This window comes from Homo sapiens, chromosome 22, assembly GCF_000001405.40.
Source record: "Homo sapiens chromosome 22, GRCh38.p14 Primary Assembly".
Taxonomy (NCBI): domain Eukaryota; kingdom Metazoa; phylum Chordata; class Mammalia; order Primates; family Hominidae; genus Homo; species Homo sapiens.
The window spans coordinates 20,363,612-20,388,407 of NC_000022.11; the positions used below are offsets into that span (position 1 = coordinate 20,363,612).

General features: G+C 44.8%; 1 pseudogene, besides 2 other annotated features; it reads right to left on the reverse strand.

The window, feature by feature from the left end:
- Window positions 5-13,649, reverse strand: USP41P (ubiquitin specific peptidase 41, pseudogene; annotated as a pseudogene).
- Window positions 9,689-9,858: an enhancer, noted in NCBI's record as "experimental_62637 CRE fragment used in MPRA reporter constructs". NCBI's record gives its function as "activates a minimal promoter by MPRAs in K562 erythroleukemia cells, with activity observed for the non-introgressed 22:20727675 or rs60469696 variant allele {active_cell/tissue: K562}" and the evidence as "EXISTENCE:reporter gene assay evidence [ECO:0000049][PMID:34662402]".
- Window position 9,774: a transcriptional cis regulatory region, noted in NCBI's record as "Neanderthal adaptively introgressed variant 22:20727675 (GRCh37/hg19 assembly coordinates) or rs60469696 in the experimental_62637 CRE". NCBI's record gives its function as "modulates activity of the experimental_62637 enhancer by MPRAs in K562 erythroleukemia cells {active_cell/tissue: K562}" and the evidence as "EXISTENCE:reporter gene assay evidence [ECO:0000049][PMID:34662402]".

Below are 24,796 nucleotides of genomic sequence, written 5' to 3' on the forward strand. Positions count from 1 at the left end.
ATCTGTTTCTTACCAGTGGTAGTTAGGATTTCCGTAGGTACACTGGATGTCTTCCCAGGACACCTGGAAGCCAGAAACAAATGGGGTCAAGCAGCCAGCTGACACAAGCACCCACAGAGGACAGGACACTATAATGTGCCCCTCATCCTCCAGACAAGCCCACCCCTAGCAACTCCCAAGAGCCTGGAGCAACAGCAGCAGGATGTCTTGTGCAGTGAAGTATGTTTAGCGCCCTTGTCCCTGTGTTTAAACTTGGTCATGCTTTTCCCAGAGGCCTAACTTACATATTTCTAACTCTCCTTGCTCTCTAGACATTTCCCACAAAGCAGGAAGCTGCAGAGCATGAGCCTAGAGCACCAAAAACTTAGAAGTGAAGTGAATTGAACCCTTGCAGAGGTGCAAACCACATGGGGACTTCAGACCGAAAAAGGCTTGAACCCTCATCAAAGGCCCCACACCCAGACAGCAGGATCACAGTGTGTCTTGATCTCAGAGACCCAGGCAGCCCTGAGCCCAGCATTTGCTAGAGGTGGCCAATCCAGGGCAGGAGGCAATTGTGGATGATGTTTCTTACCAAGCAAATATTGGAGTCATTGAAGCAGAACCATTTTCCATCCACAGCATTCCGGATGTAGACACAGTAATGACCGGAGTCTGCCATTCCCACGTGCGCAATCACAGCAAAAAGCTCATACTGCCCTCCAGACTGGAAAGAGACAGGCACGAGACAGTTCACCCACCACCACAAACACGACTGCCTCACACATTTATACCTGTCCACCCGAGGCCCGACTCTGGGACTTTAGAATATTAGAAAACAGTCCTGACCCACGGCCAGTGGGCACCCTCCAGGAGGGGCTTTCCTGAGTGTGGATCCTGAACTGTGAAGGCTCAGCAGCTTGGCAGGGCAGAGCACACAAGAGATGGAAGGCATGAGGTCATGAGAGAGGCCCCCAAAGCCAAGGCAAGATTAGAACTTTCCCCTGGGAGGGGTGGGGATCATCAGAACACAGTTCTGCTTCTCCACAAGCCCAGGAATGACCCTAACCTGAGCCACCGTACCCAGCCAAAAAAGTCTTTTGTAGGGGGAGGGGAGACAGAGGGCAAGGGCGGCACACGCAAAGCTGAGTCACCCACAGTGGAGGCTGAAATTATCCCTATTTCCATTTGCAGACTTTGTGCAGAACTTTACAAAATGCAGGGCAATATCTGTATCTAAATATTAGTTTACAAGAAATAAAAGGGTTATAGATGATGTTAAAAGATATCAACCAGCCAGTGCTGGCATATGAAAAAAATATTCAACCAAATCAACTGCAAGGAAAAGAAAAGGAGCGGAAATCTAAAAGGAACTTAAGAAAAGAAAGAAACTTAACCAAATGCAAGTGTAGGCGTTGTTTGGATCTAGAGTCAAACAAACCACATAGATTACACAACAGTCAGGAAGTCTGAACGTTAACCAGATATTTGATGCTATTAAGGAATTGCAAGATGGAGATGATTATCTTTTAAGTGCTTATTCTTTAGTGATACATAATGAAGTGTTTATAAATGAAATAGTATGATGTCTGGGATTTGCTTCAAAAAAATCCAGTACAGGGTTGGGTGAAACAAGAGGGTGGGTTATAGGAAAAGCAAGACCTGCCATGCGTTTTGGTAACTGTTACAGCCAAGGATTCACTGTCTAACTCTTCCTTCACTACACACTTTGGTATCTATTTGTAATGTTCCATAACAAAGTCTTTTTTGTTGTTGTTGCAAAGATGGAGTCTTGCTTTGTTGTCCAGCTGGGCTCGACTCCTGGACTCCAGCAATCCTCTTGGCCCCGCAAAGAGCTGGGATTACAGGTGTGACCCACTGCATCCAGCCAAAAAAGTCTTTTTTAAGTGAAAAACAATTTTAAATGTACTTCATCGGGTAGAATCTGCAGGTAGAAATAAAAAGAACTAGAAGGAAAGAAAAAGAGAATCCTATGAAATGTATACGGCCTAAGTAGGGAAAGAAATCATGTTATAATAGGAGCTATTGTAACGTATTATCAGGTCTTAATTTTCTAAATGTCATGGTTCTAGAGCATAAATAGCCAAACAGACCAATAAAACAGAAGAGACACTCCAAAAATAGACCCGTACATATAGAAATACAAAATTTGTTATGTAGCATTTCAAATCTATGGAAAAAAAGATATTTGGGTCCTTTTTTTTTTTTTTTTTTTTTTTTTTTAAGTTTTTCTTGTTTTGTTTTTAGAGACGGGGTCTTGCGCTGTCACCCAGGCTGGAGTACAATGATAGATCATAGCTCACTGCAGCCTCAAACTCCTGGGCTCAAGTGATCCTCCAACTCAGCCTCCCAAGTAGCTGGGACTAAAGGTTTGTGCTACCACACCCAGCTAATTTTTTTTTTTTTTTTGAGAGACGGGGGTCTCATTATGTTGCTGAAGCTGGTCTCGAACTCCTGGGCTCAAGCAATCCTCCTGCCTCAGCCTTTTGAGGTGTGGGATCACAGGCATGAGCCACATCACCTGGCCTTGTGTCTCTTTTTTTCTCAGAATCTCTTGATAAGTTATTATCTCAGGACAAGTGAATTAAACTTTACTCTGATTAAATGTGGTCCAGTCAACTGGCTACTTTATGATTATCCTCAAAGTGGGCACAGGCCATCTGAGGAAGAAAGTTTGGTTGGTACTATGAACCCACAATGACATGTTTGCCTATGCATTTCTATGTATTCCACATTATTTCCAAAGAAGCCTACTGAATTCTGGATTCTGTCCCTCAGTGCTGTGAGGCATATGAACACAAATCCAATATTTAGAAAGAAGAAAGGCTTTTGAGGCTGGGGACAGTCTCTGAGGAACAGGTGGCTCCTAGCAGACTGGGGGTGAAGGAAGGGAAAACAGAAAGGACATGGCATCTGGGGAGAGGCAGGATGGCAAGGAGGTCGGGATCATCCCACCTGCTCCTCAGCATCACAAGACTCTCGCTTCATTGGAAGGATCTGGCTGAAATCCAAGCTCTGGGGGAAGTACAGGGAGTGGCAGATCTTTCTCGTCTGTGAATTCCTGATGGAGAATCGCATGAGGTGGATTGTCAGGGTCTGGGGCAAATGGGTCAGCTTCAAGACCTGAAAAATCAAAATCACTCTGGAGATGAAGTCCACTTGGAATGAGAGAGTCAGAGAAATGTCAGGGCTAGCAACGCGTTCTTCCCAAAAAGAGGGGAGCAGGGCGACATCATGGAGTTCAAGGCTCCTGTTCACTGAATCTGCTGAGCTCCTCTGAGAATAATGCAAAACTTGGCTATTCTACCACCATGTGGCCCCCCACAAGAGGCACAAGGGCACAGGGCTCTGCACAGGTACCAGGACCCAGGGAGCCACCACGTCTGCTCCAGGGAGCTGGTCTCGCCCCGAGGGAAATGCCCTGCCCGCTGCTCTCAGGCCCCCTCCTGCAGTCCCTCTCAGTGATGCGACATGAGAAGCCACATCCACGGCTCCAGATATCAGAACCACAGCGTCCCAGATACTAGCCAGACCCAGATTCCCTTTCTCACCCATCATGGGATGTCCTCGGGGCCTCTGATGATTCTATCAGGAAATCCACGGGGGGCAACCCCAGACTAGTGAAGGACAGATGACCCCTGAACAGCACAGGTTTGGACTGTATGGGTCCGCTTATACACAAATTGTTGTAAATAAATACAGTCTGCCCTCCCCCATAGGCACGAGTTCCACATCTGCAACCAAATGCTCATCAAAAATAAAGTATCCCAGATGCACAACCGCATAGATGAGGGACTGACTTTTCCTATACGTGGGTTCCACAGGGCCGACTGGGTGTGACTTGAGTGTGTGTGGATTTTGGTAAAAGCAGGGGTCCTGGAACAAATCCCCCATATGCACCGAGGGACAGCTGAGTCTGATTTAGGGAATGAGTACCTGTTTCCCACGGGTCTTCTTCCCACAGTTCTCACAGAAGCATTTGCTTTTGCTTGATAACTCCCTGGGCTGGAAGAAGCAGTGCAGGGCGTCCTCCTGTCCCACCCAAGAGAACAGGGAAAAAGCAGCGTTGGTATTTCCCACCTAGAATACTATATTCGTCTGTTCTCACACTGCTGTGAGACAATAGCTGAGACTGGGTAATTTATAAGAAAAGAAGTTTGATTGGCCCATGGTTCTGCAGGCCGACCGGAAGCATGGCAGCATCTGCTTCTAGGGAGGCCGCAGGAAGCTCCCAATCATGGCGGAAGGCCAAGCAGGAGCAGGCGTCTTACCTGGGAGGAGCAGGTGCAAGAGACCAAGTGGGGAGCTGGAGTGCAGGAGCGCGATCTCAGCTCACCGCAACCTCCACCTCCCGGGTTCAAGCGATTCTCCTGCCTCAGCCTCCTAAGTAGCTGGGACTACAGGCTGCACCACCACGCCCAGCTAATTTTTTATGTTTTTAGTAGAGACAGGGTTTTACCATGTTGGCCAGGCTGGTCTCAAATTCCTGACCTCAGGTGATCCACCCACCTCAGCCTCCCAAAGTGCTGGGATTATGGGCGTGAGTTACCACACCCAGCCTGGCTCCACACTTTTAAACAACCAGATCTCATGAGAACTCACTGTCACAAAGACAGTACCACGGGGGATGGTGCCAAACCATTCACGAGAAACACTCCCCCATGATCCAATCTCCTTCCACCAGGCTTTACCTCCAACACTGGGGATTACAATTGAACAGGAGATTTTTGGGCAGGGTCACAGACCCAAACTGTATCAGGTACAGCCTCCCCACACTTTGCAGCTGAGGGTTTCAGCTTTTCTTCTGGTTCTCCTCATATCCCCCTTAATGCCTGGCCTGGTGTGGTCCACTTGGCAGGATCTCAAAGGGCACCTACTGACTGGAGGAACAAAACAGGAGGGGGCTCCTATTAAGGGAGCAGTATGAGGGAAGTGGAGGTAGGAGGGAAAAACATTTTTGCCAAAACAAAGGAGAAATTGGCCAGCGCCGTGAAAATGAAATAAGTGACTTTCCAGAAGCCAGAGATAGATCAAAGAGGCAAGGGGGAATTGGCCACACTGTGCTGTGTGGTGTGATGGTTTGAGGGTTTGTCCTCCCCAAAACCCAGGTTGAAACTGAATCCCCAGTGTGGCTGTATGGAAAGGTGGGGACTTTGAGAGATAATTGGGGAGGGCAAGGTGTCTCATGCCTGTAATCCCAAGGAGGCTGAGGCAGGGGGATCACTTGAAGTCAGGAGTTTCAGATCAGCCTGGCCAACATGGTGAAACCCCATCTCTACTAAAAATACAGAAATTAGCCGGGCATGGTGGTGGGCACCTGTAATCTCAGCTACTTGGGAGGCTGAGGCAGGAGAATCGCTTAACACCGGAGGCGGAGGTTGCAGTGAGCTGAGATTGTGCCACTGCACTTCAGTCTGGGTGACAGAGGAAGAATCTGTCTCCAAAATAAAAGGTAGGGGGGTTATTGCGTCATGAGGGCACAGCCCTCATAAATGAATTAATCCACTCATGGATTAATGGGTTAATCGGTTATCCTGGGAGTGGGACTGGTGGCTTCATATGAAGAGGAAGAGAGACTTGAGCCGGCACATTAGCATGCTCAGCCCCCTCGCCATGTGATGCCCTGCACTGCCTCGCCTCAGGACTCTGAGAGTCCCCACCAGCAAGCAGGTCCTCACCAGGTGCAGCCCCTCAACCTTGACTTCCCAGCCTCCAGAACTGTAAGAAATAAATTACCTAGTCTCAGATATTGAGTTATAACAACAGAAAATGGACTAACACATACAGGTGCAGCAAATACCAAGAGAATCCCCTTACCAGTGTCTTCAGGGGCTTTGAGTCCACATCAAAAAAAGAAAGTCGGAGGGTGAGCATGCTGCTGTTTCTGCTACTCTCCATGGCACAGTCAAGGCAAATCAAGGAGTCCTTCATCCGGATCATATACAGGGCCTGCAGTCTCTCCACCTGCAAGAGGGAGAGCGGAGAGGTGAGATGGGAACACCACCATAAGCCAGGTCAGGCCAACTGCCAGAAGGTGGAGCCAAGAGACAGAAGCTCCTCACAAAGGTGCAAAATAATACCAGTAACAATATTATGAAACTGTGATAAGTGTTTTATGTGGATTAACTCTTTTTTTTTTTTTTTTGAGACAGAGTCTCGCTCTGTCACCCAGGCTGGAGTGCAGTGGCGCGATCTCGGCTCACTGCAAGCTCCACTTCCCGGGTTCACGCCATTCTCCCACCTCAGCCTCCCGAGTAGCTGGGACTACAGGCGCCCGCCACCACGCCCGGCTAATTTTTTGGTATTTTTAGTAGAGACAGGGTTTCACCGTGTTAGCCAGGATGGTCTCGATCTCCTGACCTCGTGATCTGCCTGCCTCAGCCTCCCAAAGTGCTGGGATTACAGGGGATTAACTCTTTTATTCCTCTACACACTACGGGAACAACAGCTGAATGAATGAAATGAGCAGCATCTTAAGCTTCCGAGTGCTCTGGTTCTAGGTTCTTACCAAGTGCACATCAGCGATCTGGTCCTTAATCAGGTTCCAGAGTTTGAGGTACAGTTGGGCAGCATCATGTTGGACAAACACTGGCCACAGAGAAAAGGAACAGCCAATTAGTGAGGTCTTCAGAGTCACTTCTCATGCCCTGGTACTTAGACACACATGAACACTGATCACTTTGTCTCTTCCTAGCCCTCCACCCCACTGCAAGGCTAAGTCGGCACGACAGAAGAAGTGATCAATAAACAAACAGTAAGTTTGGTATTGATTTTTGAGAACGCCTCTTAATACTTAAGCTCCAGTGCCAGATGTAGTGGCTCATGCCTATAATCTTAACACTTCGGGAGGCCAAGGTGGGAGGATCGCTTGAACTCAGGAGTTTGAGACCAGCCTGGGCAACATAGCAAGACTCCGTCTCGATAAAAAATTTAAAAAAGTACTTGAGAGTAGCGGTGCACGCCTGTAGTCAGAGCTACTTGGGAGGCTGAAGCAGGAGGATCACTGGAGCCCAGGATGTTGAGGCTACAGTGAGCTGTGATGTCACCACTGCACTCAGCCTGGGGAATGAGATGTCCACAGGGACTTTGAAAAGCACTGATACATTCCTGAGGATCTAGAAGGCCAGGCGCATGCCCAAGTAAGACCTGAGAGGGCTCCGATCCCTCCCCTCTGGCTGACCACAAGGCCACATGCAAGAAAGCAATGAAGGCGAATACAGAATCATGAACTGCCCAGAAACGATAAAACAGCAACAACAACAAACCCTGCTGTGGGGATCTCTGATGTCCAGTGTTGCCACCTTACATTATCTAAAATGTTCATTTTCCAACAAAAGAGACAAGACCTACAATGAAACAGAAAAGCATGGCCACCCAGGAAAACAGCAATCGTAGAACCTTCCACTGAGAAGCCCTAGATGTTGGCGTTACTAAACAAAGACTTTAGCCGTTATAATATGTTCAAAGAACTAAAGAAAACCATGTCAAAAGATGTAAAAGAAAGTGTGAAAATGCTGCCTCACCAAATAAAAAGTATCAATAAAGAAAAAACTATAAAAGAAGAACCAAGCAGAAATTCTTGAGTTGAGGAGAACCATAACTGAAATGAAAAATGTACTAGAGGAGGTCAATAGCAGATTAGAGCTGGCAAAAGAAAGAATCCATAAACCTGGAGCTAGGTTGGTTGAGGTTCTCCAGACTGAGGACGGAAGGAAAGCTGAACACAGTACCTATGCAGCGAAAAGCTGAGGAGCTGCTCACTGCGTGTAGAGCTCAACTAACTCTGATACAAAAAAAAATGTGATACAAAAGGTTTTATACACAAACGTGAACTTATTCTGAAGCCAGCCTGGGGCAAGGAGCAAGACACATCCTGCCTTTTAATGTGCCATTTCTCCTTTGGAGGAGAGAGGGGCATTTTCATAAGGTGTGTTGTGGGGGTGGGGGGAGTGAGCAATGGCGGTTTTCTACCGGGCAGTTATCAAGTTCCCAGCAGCTGAGTTGGCGCCTTTCCGGGCAGAAAAGTGGCCGAGTGGGCATGCTTTCTCCATGCCTTCCTAGTGGGTGAAAGACAAACCCCTAGAGGGTGGAAGTTTCGAAGCCACCCCCTGGCAGGGAGAGTTCCCTGGTGGGTATGCTTTGGGCTGCAAATCTACTGCCAAGTCTCAGGAAAGATCAGCTGGAAGATCTTGCCCTGTTCTCAATCAAACCTCCATCAGCCTACCTCCATTTACAGATTCTTCCTTTTGCCCAGCAGGGAATGTCTGGAGAGGGGTAGGCGAAAGGTGATATTTGCATTTCTAAAGGGCTAACAGGAAACAGGAAACACGGCCGCGGTGAGGGGTGAGGGATGGGAAGAGGAGAAGTGAAAAGAAAGTAATAAGAAAACTAATATAACTATCTCTTAGAAAATGGGAGTACTCAGTTACACCCAGATGGGTTCACTAGTGAACGATGGGTTCTACCAAACATTTATGGGAAAAATTATACCAATTCCCTACAACCTCTTCCAGAGGACAAAAGCAGAGAGAACACTTCCTAACTCATTCTCTGAGGCCAGCATTATCCTAACACCAAAACCAGACAGACATTGTAAGAAAAAAACCTAAAAACCAGTATCTCCCGTGAACATAAATGCAAAATTCCTCAACAAAATATTAGTGAATCAAATTCAACTATGTATAAAAAGAATCACAGAGGGTGACACAAGCGAGATGGTAGAGAAGGAGGCTCCTGGTGCTCCCCTTCTCCCATGGACACACGGTAAAACTCTCATCTACACACAGATCAACTCCCTCTGAAAGAAACCCAGAAACCAGCTGAGAGAGGCCTGCACAGGGGGCAATGGGGAGAACACCCACATCGCAACCGGTTGGAAAAGCTGAGACACACTCGAACCACAAGCCCCACCCCAGACACAGTACCTTACTGTGAGGAAGGAATCCCTACTCCCAGCTTTCTCCTGGAGAGGGGAGGGTTTGGACCACACATAGGCAGCCCCAGCTTTTGCAGTTCCCACTCAAGGGCTTGGCTGCTGGGTCACCTAGCTCTGGGAGCAGACATGGGTTAGCAGTTATGAATCCTCTGCGACCACAGAGGACAAAGAGGCAGTTTTAAACGGGCACGTGAGCACTTCCAGCAGCTGTGCTCAGCACAGAGCAAACAGGCAGAAATGCCAGGCTCCCAGTTCCTCCCTGGAAGGATATGTCTGCGGGCTCTCCTAGCTGTTGCCCGAGGGATGGGCTTCTATTAATAACTGGCCTGCACCTGGAGCCAATGAGGCAGGTAAACAATAGATTTCCAGGAGTCTGGACAGGCCTGTGGGCAAGTCCCATGCCTTCTCCCACCCCCTGCTGTATGGTAAAATCAGGTCTCTAACTTCACACATTGAGTACACATTTACCCCTCTCAAATGAAGGTCTAGCTCCTCAACCACCGAGCTTTGGGAGCTGACAAGGCTCTGTATTTGTAAGTCCCACAGGGGCACAGAGACCAAAGAACATCCCCCCAGGCCCAGTGCAGCGTGAACAGGCAAAAAGGCCCGGCTCCTACTTTCTCCCTAGAAGGAGTTTGTCTGCACAGTGCAGCTGCTGCCCTGGGGTTTCTATGCATCTGGGAGCTGACAGAGCAGGAAACCAGTGCTCCTCTGAGACCCTGAACAGGCAGGTGAGCACCTCCACAGCTGCTCCCACTGGTTTGCTCAACAGATAGCGTCAAGCTTCCAACTAACCTGTCCGTCTCTAAGCAGAGAACAGCCAGCATTTGCTAGGCCCCTGGGGGTGACAAAGAGTAAAACAATGCATGAAGGAGTGTGCAGTTTAAACTTGAGTGCAGGCACTTGCCACAGATCCTCTCTCCAGCATTTTGCAGAGCGAGTGGCAGATAAACTCATGCTCCCAGCTTTTCCCTGAGGATAGAATAAACTGGAACACACATTTAATGCCCCAACGTCTCCAGCTGCACCTCAAGGGGCTGGTTTCTATCTCCCCTGTCTGGGGCACTGACAGGACATGACACATTCTAATCTCCTGAGGGCCGCTAAGAACATAGATGACAGTTTGGACAACACAAAAGGTCAAGAGGTGCTCCGAGTGTCTGGCAGGGCTAATTGGTAAGTTCGTCTCTTATACAAGGCCCGTGGGACAAGACTGGGAGAGGTATTTTTCTTTTTTTTTTTTGAGACGGAGTCTCGCTCTGTGGCCCAGGCTGGAGTGCAGTGGTTCGATCTCGGCTCACTGCAAACTCCACCTCCCAGGTTCACGCCATTCTCCTGCCTCAGCCTCCCAAGTAGCTGGGACTACAGGCACCCGCCACCACGCCCAGCTAATTTTTTGTATTTTTAGTAGAGACAGGGTTTCACCGTGTTAGCCAGGATGGTCTCCATCTCCTGACCTCATGATCTACCCGCCTCAGCCTCCCAAAGTGCTGGGATTACAGGTGTGAGCCATGATGCCCAGCCTGGGAGAGGTATTTTTCTTAACTAAAGTACAGAAAATAACAGAGAATCAAGAACAATGAAGAAACAGAGAAATCTGTTCCAAGCAAAAGAACAAGATAAATCTCCAGAAAATGCCCCCGGTGAAATGAAGATAAGTGACTTACCTTACAGACAATTCAAAATAATGATCATGAAGATGCTTACCATGTCTAGGACAGCAATGCATGAACAAAGTAAGAATTTCAGCAAAGAGACAGAAAAAAGTTCAAAAGAAATAATAGAGCTGAAGAATACAATAACTGAAATAAGAGCTCAAAAGAGAAGCTCAACAGACTAAATCAAGCAGAAGAAAGGATTAGCAAACTAGAAGATAGGTCACTGGAAATCATTCAGAGGAGCAAAAATGAAAAAGAATGAAAAAGAGTGAAGATATCTTAAGAGAGTTAGGGGACATCAAGCCGACCAAAATAGGCATTATCAGAGTCCCAGAAGGAGGAGAGTGAGAAGAGATGGAAAGCTTATCCAAAGAAATAACAGTCACGAGTTGCAGATCAACATTTCAGTCAATGGCAGACCGCATGAGCACAGTGGCCATAGCATGCAGCCTAGCTGTGTAGTAGGCTGTCCCATCTAAGTTTGTGTAAGTGCACTCCATGATGTCCACACAATGACAAATTCACCTTCTGATGCATTTTCAGAACGTATCCCTGTTGGTAAGCAACGCATACCTATAATGACTGAAAACTTCCCAACCCAGGGAAGGAAATACAAATCCACATCCAGGAAGCCCAAAGGACACCAATAAGACTGATCTAAAGCAACCCACATCAAGACACATCATAATCAATTTCAAAAGTTAAAGACAAAGAATTCTGAAAGCAGCAAGAGAAAAGCAATGTATTATACACAAGGGAAAACCCGTAAGTGTAGGATTTCTTCTGGGGGTGATGAAAATGTTATGAAATTAGATTGTGATGATGGAGGCACAACTCTGTGAATACACTACAAACCTTTGAATTGTATGTTTTTAAATGGATGAATTTTACAGTATGTGATGCACATCCCAATATAGCTATCTAAAAAAAAAACCTGACCTATTTGTGAATTATTTTGTAGAACATGTTTTCTCTTTTTTATTCCTTTATTCTGTTTTCCTGCAGTTCCCTAACTGTGGTGGAATAAGCTTGGAGGAGATGCCTTCACCTACTCTACTGAGAGGCAGAGAAAGGTTAGGTATGGAAGTAAAATGTCCATAAATAATATCAATTCTGCACCTCCAAAGATGTGTGCCTCTTACACAAATGTCTCTATAATCTGAGGGGTCCAGGCTACCTAACTTGCTTCTTGTTGCTTCACTGCCCATTAGTTCCTCTCTTCACTCTCTAAGCTTCCCATCCCCTTTGGATCAGCAGCCAGGAACCCAGTGGGAGGGTATCTTACGGGGCACGTTGTACTTCTGCAGGCAGTAGGCCAGCTCCAGGGGCCACACTGCTTTCTGCCGGCTGTCCTGCATCTTCTCCAGCAGCAGAAGCATCTGGAAAGGGACGCTTCTCCTCTGCTCGTCAGCTCCCCTGGGCACCGTGATCCTGCCACACAAGAACAGCCAGAAACCTCCTTACATGTAGTTCTCAAAGCTAGGTGCACACTGGAATCACCTGGGAGAAATTTTAAATCTTCATATCCAGGCCACTCCCATACAAATTAAACCAGAATTCTGGGTCCGGGGGGCGGGGCGCGGGCAGTTATCAGAATTTTTCAGTTCCTCAGATTATTTCAATGTGTGGTCAAGGTTGAGAAGCACCATGTGAGTGAATCTGCTCTACAGGGGACCCTCTAGAGAGGGGGATCAGCATGACTGCTGCCTTGGCCCCTCTGCACCCTGCCCAGCAATCGTGCTAGAGCAGACGGCAGATGCACGAGGTCCTGGCTCCACATCTCGGGCAAGCAGCAAAATGTCCAGCCTAAAGCTCTCCAGACTGCAGAGGCACATGCTGGGTTAGGTCCTGGGAAGAAAGGCAACATGAAAGGCTGTCCGTGTGGTTTGGCAATGATTCATTTAATCACAGGCATTTTTCGGATGGGAAAAAGGAGAGAGCACAGGGCAGAAAAGGAGTGATAGAGAGAGACAGAGGGAGAGAGTGCATTGTGTGAGTGTTGGTGGAAGGAGGGGTGTGTACTCCCCACTGACTTACTCCTTCTCCGACTTTGGTCTAGTCCCAACTCTGTCTTTTAACCAAGTCAGTGGCTGTCAATCCTGGCTGCATTTAAAATCACCCAAAGAGGGCTTTTAAAAAGTACCAATACCTGGCCGGGCCCAGTGGCTCATGCCTGTAATCACAGAACTTTGGGAAGCTGAGGCGGGCAGATCACCTGAGGTCAGGAGATTGAGACCAGCCTGGCCAACATGGTGAAAACTCGTATCTACTAAACATACAAAAATTATCCAGGTGTGGTGGCGGGCGCCTGTAATCCCAGCTACTTGAGAGGCTGAGGCAGGAGAATCCCTTGAACCTGGGAGGCGGAGGTTCCACTGAGCCGAGATTGCACCATCCCTCTCCAGCCTGGGGACAGAGTGAGGCTTTAGCTCAAAAAAAAAAAAAAAAAAGTACCAATACCTGGGCCGCACCCCAGACCAACCTAAGAAGTTTTAGAAATAATGTGTAGGCCAGAATATGCAGAAGCCGATCTTTCCTCTGCCAGCTTTTGAGAGAAGATCTCAAAAAGTCCAAGTCACTGTGAATAACTGAATATATTAAAAATGAAATAATACAGGCCGGGTGCAGTGGCTCACGCCTGTAATTCCAGCACTTTGGGAGGCTGAGGTGGGTGGATCACGAGGTCAGGAGATCAAGACCATCCTGGCTAACACGGTGAAACCCCGTCTCTACTAAAAATACAAAAAAAATTAGCCAGGCATGGTGGCGGGCTAGTCCCAGCTACTCGGGAGGCTGAAGCAGGAGAATCGCTTGAACCCGGGGGGCAGAGCTTGCAGTGAGCCAAGATCGCGCCACTGCCCTCCAGCCTGGGCAACAGAGCAAGACTCCATCTCAAAAAAAAAGAAAAAGAAATAATACAAACGCTTATCAGCCTGAAGAACAGTCTTACCTCTTCAATATCCTGGCGAAGTCCACATTCATTACAAACACCTGAATCAAGGAGTTAAGGCAGCAGGTCTGTCCAATGTTGTGTAAACCAACCAGGCCTATAAGGGGAAGAGAAAAAAATGCTGAGGGCAAGGCCTAGGTAAAGAAGTTGACAAGGCTGGGCATGGTGGCTCACGCCTGCAATTCCAGTACTTTGGGAGGCCGAGGTGGGCGGATCACCTGAGGTCGGGAGTTCGAGACCAGCCTGGCCAACATGGTAAAACGTGTCTCTACAAAAAAATCCAAAAATCAGCCGGGTGCGGTGGCTCACGCCTGTAATCCCAGCACTTTGGGAGGCCAAGGCAGGTGGATCACCTGAGGTCGGGAGTTCGAGACCAGCCTGATCAACATGGTGAAACCCCGTCTCTACTAAAAAATACAAAACTAGCTGGGCATGGTGGCACATGCCTGTAATCCCAGCTACTCGGGAGGCTGAGGTAGGAGAATCATTTGAAACCAGGAGGTGAAGGTTGTGGTGAGCCGAGATCACACCATTGCACTCCTTTCTGGGCAACAATAGTGAAACTCCATCAAAAAAAAAAAGAAGAAGAGAACTTACAGCAGGGTGTGGCGTTTCACACCTGTAATCCTAGCACTTTGAAAGGCCAAGGTGGGCAGATCACCTGAGGTCAGGAGTTCAAGACCAGCCTGGGCAACAGGGCAAAACCCTGTCTCTACTAAAAATACAAAAGCTAGCCAGGCATGGTGGCAGGTGTCTATAATCCCAGCTTCTTGGGAGGCTAAGGCAGAAGAATCATTGGACCTAATTTATTGATTTTTTTGAACTTGGAATATGGTGTCATGACAAAATCATGCCACTGCACTCAATCCTGGATGACAGAGCAAGACTCTGTCTCAAAAAAAAAAAGGTTACTTTTTATTTCCTGAAAAGCTTGACTTCCTGACAATGAAAGTCCTAAGGAGCGAGTGGCAGAAGACAGCTGGCAGCTGGCAGTCATTGGTGGGGCAAAGGCAGAGATACCACTGCTGACTCTACTGGGCCTCGGGCCTCAGCGCTCATGGGAAGGGACCCTCTTTCAAGCTTTTGGAGGGGTAAGGGAGGGCCAGGTAACAGTGCCTACATCTTAGGCACCGAAAACAACTGGAGCTGCTTCATGCAGTCAAGAATCCCCTGAAGAAGGAAGGCAGTTACCTCCCTATTCTCCAGATCTCTTCAGCTGGCCTGGCTCTCATCCTTTCCAAGACCTGGCTGTTTGCTTTGCATTTAGTTATATGAGCTAATTCATATGCTTCTAATAAATGCCTTTCATCCTTCTCCAAAGTTAGCCCTAGAGTATATTGCTGTTGTTTACAATCAAAAAGCCCCAGAGGTGTACTCTCCAATTCTCTTAATAACCTCATTTTTCTGTCATTACCCCTGTTTTAGTACAAGTAGCTGAGCTTCAGAGAAGTTAAAAGATGTGCCCAAGGTCGCACAGCTAATGAGTGTCACAGTCAGAATCTGAACCCAAGTCTGTCTGATGTGGGGTCATGACAAGAGCATGGGTTTTCTTGGGAGAAAAAAATGACTTCAAATCCCCACTTCCCGCATAAAAATGCACAATGGGTGTAGCAATGCCGAAGCCACAGAGCTATTGAGGATGGATGGAGGTGACGCATAGGAAAGCACATGGCCTAGGGTATGTATTCCCAACACTTTGGGAGGCCGAGGTGGGCAGATCACCTGAGGCCGGGAGTTCAAGACCAACCTGACCAACATGGAGAAACCCTGTCTCTACTAAAAATACAAGATAAGCTGAGTGTGGTGGTGCATGCCTGTAATCCCAACTACTTGGGAGGCTGAGGCAGGAGAATAGCTTGAACCCAGGAGGCAGAGGTTGTGGTGAACCAAGATCATGCCATTGCAGTCCAGACTGGGTGAAAAGAACAAAACTCCATCTCAAAAAAAAAAAAAAAAGAATTAAGAAAAAATATTTGAACACTTCTTTTTATCCCTAATTTATTCATGTTTTTGAACTTGGAATAGGAACACTACTGCCAACAAAAGTAATTAGAGAATATAGATGTTAAATCTATTCTCTAAATGAATTATTGCTTATTTTAAAATTGCATATTAATTAATTACAGGAAATTTGGAAAGTAAGAGACATATGAAGAAAAAAAGGTAAAAATGATTTGTAATCCCTCTGAGAGTTACCCTTTAATGCCATTTTTGGTATATTTCCTCTCAGTTCTTTCCCCCTCCACCACCAGTATGTGTGAGTAGTTTATGTTTTATAAAGCTGGGTTCATACAATATGATTTCTTGGCTGGTGTGGTGGCTCATGCCTGTAATTCTAGCACTTTGGGAGGCTGAGGCAGGCATATTGCTTGAGCCCAGGAGTTCCAGACCAGCCTAGGCAACACAGTGAGACCCCATCTTTACAAAAAGTAAAAAATTAGGTGGTGGATATGGTGGCACTTGCCTGTAGTCCCAGCTACTTGGGAGGCTGAGACCAGAGGATCACTTGAACGGAGGAGGAGTCTGCAGTGAGCCTAGATTGTGCCACTGCACTCCAGCCTGGGTGACAGAGTGAGACCCTGTCTCAAAAAACCCAAAAAAGATTTCTCTATAATTTCTTTTTTTATTCAGTAAAATATTGTAGTTTTCTCTATCTTGATTAAACAGTCTAAAATGGTTTTAATGTCACCATAGTATTCCATTTTATAAATTTGTCAAAATTTATTTAACCCTTATTGTTACATTTCCATTTTTTAAAATAGTGCTGCAGCTGTTGATTTGAAAAGATACTTTTTTCAGGTAGTTGACAACCAAAATATCCCCTTGATGGGTTCCAGCATACCCCATGCCTCAGTATCACACAGTATACCTTTGTAACTAACCTGCATGGTACCCCCGATTCTAAAATAAAAGTTGAAAAAAAATCATCTAGTGTTTTAAAACAAATTATGTATTATTTTTGGGCCAAGCGTGGTGGCTCACACCTGTAATCCCAGTTCTTTCAGAGGTTGAGGTGGGAGGATCACACAAGAGGATCCACTGAGACCAGGAGTTTGAGACCAGCCTGGGCAACATAGTGAGACCCCCATCTCTACAGTAATTAAAAAAAAAATTAGCTGGGCATGATGGCATGCACTTGCAGTCCCAGCTACTTAGGAGGCTGAGGTGAGAGGATTGCTTGAGCCCAGAAGTTTGAGGTTACAGGGAGCTATGATGATGCCACTGCACTCCAGCCTGGGTGACAGAGCGAGACTCTGTCTCAAAAAAATATACTATTTTAAATTTATAAATGACAATTGAATTACATTTATATAGTACAATGTGATGTGTGATGTATGTATACTGTTAAAGAGAAAAGCCTTTGACTAAATTTGACAGAGTTTAGTTGAACAGAAAAAAGATTCATGAACCAGGTAGCACTGAGAACCAAAAGTGGTTCAGAGATCTCTGCTCCACAGGTGGGCAGGGAATATTTATAGCCAGAAAACGTAAGTTTCATTGAGAAATAGCCTGTTGGTTACAGCTCTGCAGTTGCCTTGTTTGAACATGTTTTTGGCAGCTTGCAGCCTGTGAAGGGCTGAGAGCTCAGCTGCTGTGATTGGCTGAGACTGGGCTACTTATTCCAAGGGCATATTCTCAGGTTAGGTTGCAGTTTGTTTTGTTTACCTATGTGAACCCCCAATAGCTGAGACAGGTCTCAGTTAATTTAGAAGGTTTATTTGCCAAGGTTGGTGACATGCACCCATAACACAGCCTCAGGAGGTCCTGACATGTGCCCAAGGTGGTCAGAGCACAGTTTGGTTTTATACATTTTAAGGAGACATGAGACATCAATCAACATATGTAAGATGAACATTGGTTCGGTCCAGAAAGGCAGGACAGCTCGAAGCAAAGGTGGGACAACTCGAGGTGGGGAGGGGGCTTCCAAGTCTTAGATAGATAAGAGACAAATGGTTGCATTCTTTTGAGTTTCTGATGAGCCTCTCCAAAGGAGGCAATCAGATATGCATTTATCTCAGTGAGCAGAGGGGAGACTTTCAATAGAATGGGAGGCAGGTTTGCCCAAAGCAGTTCCCAGCTTGACTTTTCCCTTTAGCTTCTTGGGGCCCCAAGATTTATTGTCCTTTCACATCTATTAAGTTAGATTACAGTGTGCTATATATGGAGGCAGCTTTATTTTATTTTAATTAATTAATTAATTTATTTGTTGGTGATGTTGATTTCTCTTGTTTTAAAATCAACATTATAGGCTGGGCATGGTGGCTCATATCTGTAATCCCTGCACTTTGGGAGGCCGAGGCGGGTGGATCACTTGAGGTCAGAAGTTCAAGACCAGCATGGCCAACTTGGCAAAACTCTGTGCCTACTAAAATATATGAAGATTAGCTGGTCACGGTGATGCACACCTGAAATTCCAGCTACTCAGGAAGCTGAGGCAGGAGAATCACTTGAACCCAGGAGGCAGAGGTTGCAGTGAGCTGAGATTGCACGATTGCACTCCAGCCTGGGTGATAGAGTGAGACTCCAACTCAAAAATAAATAAATAAATAAATTAATTAATTAAATAAAATCAACTTTACGGAGAAAAATTTACATTCAAGAAAATACGCCCATTTTAAGTGTCCAGCTGGATGAATTTTCAGAAATGTGTGTACCCTCATGACCACTTCCTCAATCATGATACAGAACATTCCCATAACCTGGAAATCCCTGTGGCCCTTTGCTGGCAGTTTCCCCACCCAGCCCCAGGCAACCCCTGATCTGCCCTCTGTCACTGTAGACTAGTTTTGCCTTTTCTAGAATCTCATATAGAGGGAGTCATGCAGTATGTACTCTCTTGTAGCTAATGTTTTTGAGGTTCCTTGGTGTTACTGCATTGTTTTCTATTGCTGAGTAGTATTCCGTTCTACTCAGTACCATAATTTGCTCATCTACTCTTCTGTGGCTGGACTTTCCAGTTTGGCGCTAATATGAATTGTGGAGGCAGTTTTAGACCAAATTTAACTTAACAATACAATATGAAAAGATTAAGTCAAGCTAATGAACATACCTGTTACCTCACTTACTTGGCATTCTTTTAAGTTGATGCACTAGAAATTTTCTCTCTTAGACCGGGCACAGTGGCTCACACCTGTAATCCCAGCACTTTGGGAGGCCGAGGCGGGGGGATCATGAGATCAGGAGATCGACACCATCCTGGCTAACACAGTGAGACCCCGCCTCTACTAAAAATACAAAAAATTAGCTGGGCGTGGTGGCAGGCGCCTGTAGTCCCAGCTACTTGGGAGGCTGAGGCAGGAGAATGGCATGAACCCAGGAGGCAGAGCTTGCAGTGAGCCGAGATCACACCACTGCACTCCAGCCTGAAAGACAGAGACTCCGTCTCAAAAAAAAAAAAATTTCCTTAGTTATTTTGAAATATTCATTATTATTGACTATAGTCTCCTGCTGTGCAATAGACCTCAAAACTTTTTTCTCCTGCTTGGCTGAAACTTTGTACCTTTTGAAGAGGAAGTCTCCATTCCCTTGTTCTGCCACCTCGCCAGCTCTGGTAACCATTATTCTTCTACTGAATGAATTCAACTTTTTTTTTTTTTTTTTGAGATGTCTCACTCTGTCACCCAGGCTGGAGTGCAGTGGCACAATCTCAGCTCACTGCAACCTCCGTCTCCCAGGTTTAAGCGATTCTCCTGCCTCAGCCTCCCAAGTAGCTGGGATTACAGGCGCCTGCCACCATGCCCAGCTAATGTTTGTATTTTTAGTAGAGACAGGGTTTCACCATGTTCGCCAGGCTGGTCTCAAACTGCTGACCTCAAGTGATCCACCTGCCTCAGCTTCCCAAAATGCTGGGATTACCAGCATGAGCCAGGGCGCCTGGCCCAAATTCAACTTTTTTTTTTTTTTTATGAGTGAGCAGCAGCAAGATTTATTGCGAAGAGCGAAAGAACAAAGCTCCCACAGTGTGGAAGGGGACCCGAGTGGGTAGCTCCCAAATTCAACTTTTAAAAGATTCCACGGGCATGTGAGATTATGTGGTATTTGTCTTTCTGTGGTATTTGTATTTCACTTAGCAGTATGTCCTCTAGATTTATTCGTGTCATTCCCAATGACAGAGTTTTGTTCTTTTTTATTTTTTTGGAGATGGAGTTTCATTCTTGTTGCCCAGGCTAGAGTGTAATGGCATGATCTCGGCTCACCACAACCTCCACCTCCCGGGTTCAAGTGATTCTCCTGCTTCAGCCTCCCAAGTAGCTGGAATTACAGGAATGTGCCACCACACCTGGCTAATTTTGTATTTTTTTTTAATAGAGATGGGGCTTCACCATGTTGGTCAGGCTGGTCTTGAACTGCCGACCTCAGGTGATCTGCCCACCTGGGCCTCCCAAAGTGCTGGGATTACAGGCATGAGCCACTGCTCCCGGCTGAGTTTTGTTCTTTTTAAGGCTGAATAGTACTTCGTTGTATGCGTGCACCGCCTTTTCTGTACGCATTCATCTTAGGCTGATTGACTTAGGCAGATTCCACATCTTGGCTACTGTAAATGGGGCCGCAGTGAACATGGGAGTGCAGACATCCCTGAACACACTGATTTCAATTCCCTTGGATATATTCCCAGAAGTGGGATTGCTGGCTCACATGATAGTTCTATGTTTAGTGTTTTGAGGAACCTCCATGCCATTTTCCATCGCGGCTGTACTACACACCGGCAGTATACTAGGATTCCCCTTTCTCCACATCCTGGCCAAAACTTACCTTCCATCTTTTTCATAAAACTTGTTCTGATGAGAGGGAGATGTTATGTCACGGTGGTTTTAATTTGCATTTTCCTAAAGATTTAGGTTGCCACTGGTCAGCTCCAGGCCCCAGAGCTTCTTCAACTGAAGAAGTACTTGCTGTCTATAGTAAGCATCTCAAACTTTAACGTGCATGTGGATCACCTGGGAATCTTGTCAAATGCAGCTTCCAGGTAAGTGGGTCTGCAGTGGGGCCTGATATTTTGCCTTTTGAACAAACTCCCAGATAATACTGATGTTACTGGTCCCAGGACCTGCCTTTGAGGTAGCATTTTTTCATGAACCTATTGGCTGTTTGTATGTCTACTTTTGAAAAATGTGTTTGGTTCCTTTATTCATTCTTACATTGGCTTATTGGTTCTTTTGCTGTTGAGTTGATTGAGTTCCTCATATATTTTGGATATTAGCCCCTTTTCTAATGTATGGTTAGCAGATATTTTTTCTCACGACGTGGGTTATCTCTTTGTTACTTGTTCCTTTTGCTGTGCAGAAGCTTTTCAGTTTGATGCCATCCTGTTTCTATTTTTGCTTTTATTGCCTGTGCTTTTGGGGACATACCCAAAAAATCATTGCCCAGATCAGTGTCATGGAGCTTTTCCTCTGTGTTTTCTTATAGTAATTTTACAGTTTCCGGCATAATGTTAAAGTCTTTGATCCATTTTGGGTTGATTTTGGGGCATGGTGTAAGATAAGGGTCTAATTTTATTTTCTGCATATGAATAGCCACTTTTCCCAGCACCATTTATTGAATAGAGTGTTCTTACCCCTTGGCGTGTTCTTTGTGCCTTTGTCAAAAGTCAATAGACAGTCAGCTGGGCACGGTGGCTCACGCCTGTAATCCCGCACTTTGGGAGGCCAAGGCAGGTGGATCACCTGAGGTCAGGAGTTCAAGACCAGCCTGGCCAACATGGTGAAACCCCATCTCTAATAAAAATACAAAAAATTAGCCGGGTGTGGTGGCAGGCACCTGTAATCTCAGCTACTCGGGAGGCTAAGGCAGGACAATCGCATGAACCCAGGAGGCAGAGGTTGTAGTGAGCCGAGATCACTCCACTGCACTCCGTCCAGCCTGGGCAACATTCCTTCTGTGTTCTGGGATATATATTCTTGAGGGTATTCCCATCTGTGGATAGTTGCCAGTTAGATTTCTGTGGTGGGGAAGTGGAGCTAGAGTATTCTTTTCCTTTTTTTTTGAGACAGCATCTCACTCTGTCATCCACGCTGCAGTGCAGTGGCATTAACATGGCTTCATTGATCTCTTGAGCTCAAGTGATCCTCCCACCTGAGTCTCCTGAAAAGCTAGGGCTACAGGCATGCATCAGCATGCCCGGCTAATTTTTAATTGTTTTGTAGACATGGGTTCTTGCTGTGTTGCCTAGGTTGGTCTCGAACTCCTGGACTCAAGCAGTCCTCCTGCCTTGGCCTCCCAAAGTGCTGGGATTACAGGCGTGAGCCACTGCTCCTGGTCTGTTTCTTTTGTTTAGTATTTTTGTTTGCTTTGTTTCATGAGCTGCTATTTTGACTACAGTTTTAATATTTTTAGCAATTTTTTGGATATGCAGAAATTTAATTCTTATTCATCAAATATATTTTAGTATTTTGTGTGTTTTTTAGATTTCCTTTTTTAGGAGTCTTTCCAACCATAAACTGCCAAATAGAAATACACACACACACATACACAGAGGCTATGAATAGACAACTAATTGAAACAGAAAAAAATTGATTAATTAAAGCACCTATGGGATTTTTCTCCAGCCAAATTAGCATTTTTATTTAAAAAAATCTTTTAGTGTTATTTAGCCTACATAGGAAGAGGCTTACTTATGTAGTTGATAAGAGTGTGAATTGATCAACTTTTTGGAAAATAATCTGCCAGTATAATTAAAATTATAATTAAAATGTATCATAGGTCAGTTACACCACTTTGAGAATCCTATACTACAGAAAAGAAGAAATATAAAACAAAAACATCAGTGGGATCCATGTATATTGATGATTATTGTAGTCATCAGTGGTGGGAATTTTTAAAAACAACCTTAATATCCATCTAATAGGGAATAAAGAAATCAGAACTTATCTACAATGCGCATTACTACACAGAAATTCAAATGATACATTTGATCTACATTAGCTGGAATTAGTAATGTCCATGTACTCTAATGGGAGAAAGAAAATTACTAAATAATGTAAGATTTGAGCACGTTCTTTAAACAAAACAAATCAATAAAGCCCTAAAAGGACATACTATTGAAAGCAAGTCACAAAATCCAGAAATGGCAGGGAAAATGTTCAACAATTTGACTATGTAAAAATGAAAGTTTCTTCAAAACAAAGATAATATAAACAAAATAAAAGTTATGATACAGACCTTAAGAAACAAACTTGCTAATTATATGGAATTAATAAATGTGCAGAATATATAAAGAATATCATTACATGAATTAGAAAACTAGTAAATCATAATGAAATTCTCAGCGAGAAATACAATTGGCCAGTAAACATATGCAAAAATGCACAATCTCTCTAATAAGTGGAGAAATCCAAATTAAAAATGGAAATATTTCTTAATCATAAAATTGGCCAAGGTTAGCATTGGTCATTTCCTCTGTAACTAAGGGTGTGTGGAAATAGGAACTCTCATATACTGATGGTGGGAGTATAATATCATTAAATTTTTTTGAAACACAGATTTTTAATTTTTTATCAAAATATGGCCAGGTGCAGTGGCTCACGCCTGCAATCCCAGCACTGTGGGAGGCCAAGGCAGGCAGATCATGAGGTCAGGAGATCGAGACCATCCTGGCTAACATGGTGAAACCCCGTGTTATTTGTAAAAATACAAAAACAAAATTAGCTGGGTGTGGTGGTGGGCACCTGTAGTCCCAGCTACTTGAGAGGCTAAGGCAGGAGAATGGCATGAACCTGGGAGGCTGAGCTTGCAGTGAGCCAAGATCACACCACTGCACTCCAGCCTGGGCAACAGAACGAGACTCTGTCTCAAAAAAATAATAATAATATTAAAAATTTATACTTTGCCTCAGTATTTTATTTTTAGAAATCAATCATAAAAGAAAAAACCCACCTAACTAAGGTACCAAAAAGATGAATATACAGGTATGCCCAGGATAGTGTAGGTAACGGTAACAAATAACTGAATCCAACATAAAAATTCCACAGTGAAAAAGTGACCAAATTATGGTCAGATACCCTGTTGAATAATGATGCAACTATAAATAAGAATGAGAGAGACCTATATGCACTCATAAGCAATGATCACCACATTCTATTTTATATGGAAAAGCCAGTTAGGGAACAACACACAAAGCAGGATTACGTTATGTAAAAACATGGGCATGTCTATCTGTGTGTAAGTGGATGTAGACGACTGAGTGGGCTGGGAGCTGGCGGTGACACATTTCATTCTACAGACCTAAGCAGTATTTGAATTTTTATAACAATAGCATATGTGTTTCTTATGTGATTTACTAGAAACAATTTAATTTCTTCAGTTGTAAAAGGTGTATTTTAAACCTATATAAAGGTACATGGAGATCGTCATTCAGAATAACAAAATAAAAAGCAATATAAAGACACAAATAGATATAGTACAATATTAAATACTACAATATTCAAGATGATATTAAAATTATATATATCTACATCTATATGCATGTAAGGATCTCAGTAAATGATATTGTCTAAAATTAAACTGTGGTAATTTTTGCAGACCTCTGTGAATATATTAGAAACCATTGAATTGTGTGTACACTGTGTGTGGGTGAAATTTATTGTATTTGAATTATATCTCAAAGTTCTGTTAAAAAATGAATGGCTTGATATTCTAGTGCTAAGGGATGGTTTTATTTAAAACATAAACTAATAGTTTCCAGCAGAGTCCCTTAAAAATATTACAGCAGGGATTTCCAGATCACACTCACTCCCACCTTTTTAGAATTTTTGACTATTTTCCAAAGTATTGAATTCAATGAGGTGCAGGTGGAAGAAAGCGTTTACAAAGTCAGTGGGTTACGGGAGAGCTGGTGTGGGTTGAGGCAGAGTGGGGAGAGAGGCTCCTTTCAAATGGAAGCCTCTGGAACCCACAGACGGCAAGCGTAAGGCAGGGCAATCTTCTGGAGACCTACCAGAGAAAGGCTTTAGACCCAACACTCCCATTCACAAACATGGACAGGGGCATCTCAGTGTTTCCTTAACTTCACTCTTTCTATATTGACACAAGGAAATAATTAAAAGGGGGTAATTCTGGTTTAGTTTATTTCATTAAATTATCAACAAACAACTTTTGAAACAAAAACTATTAAAGTGGAACTCAATAAAATTACTAGGTTTAATAATCTGTATCTGTGACTCAGATACAGATCAGGCAAACCAGCTGTGGATGAAGCTCCCAGCTGTGGATGATGCCCCCAGACATGGATGAAGCCCCCAGCTGTGGATGATG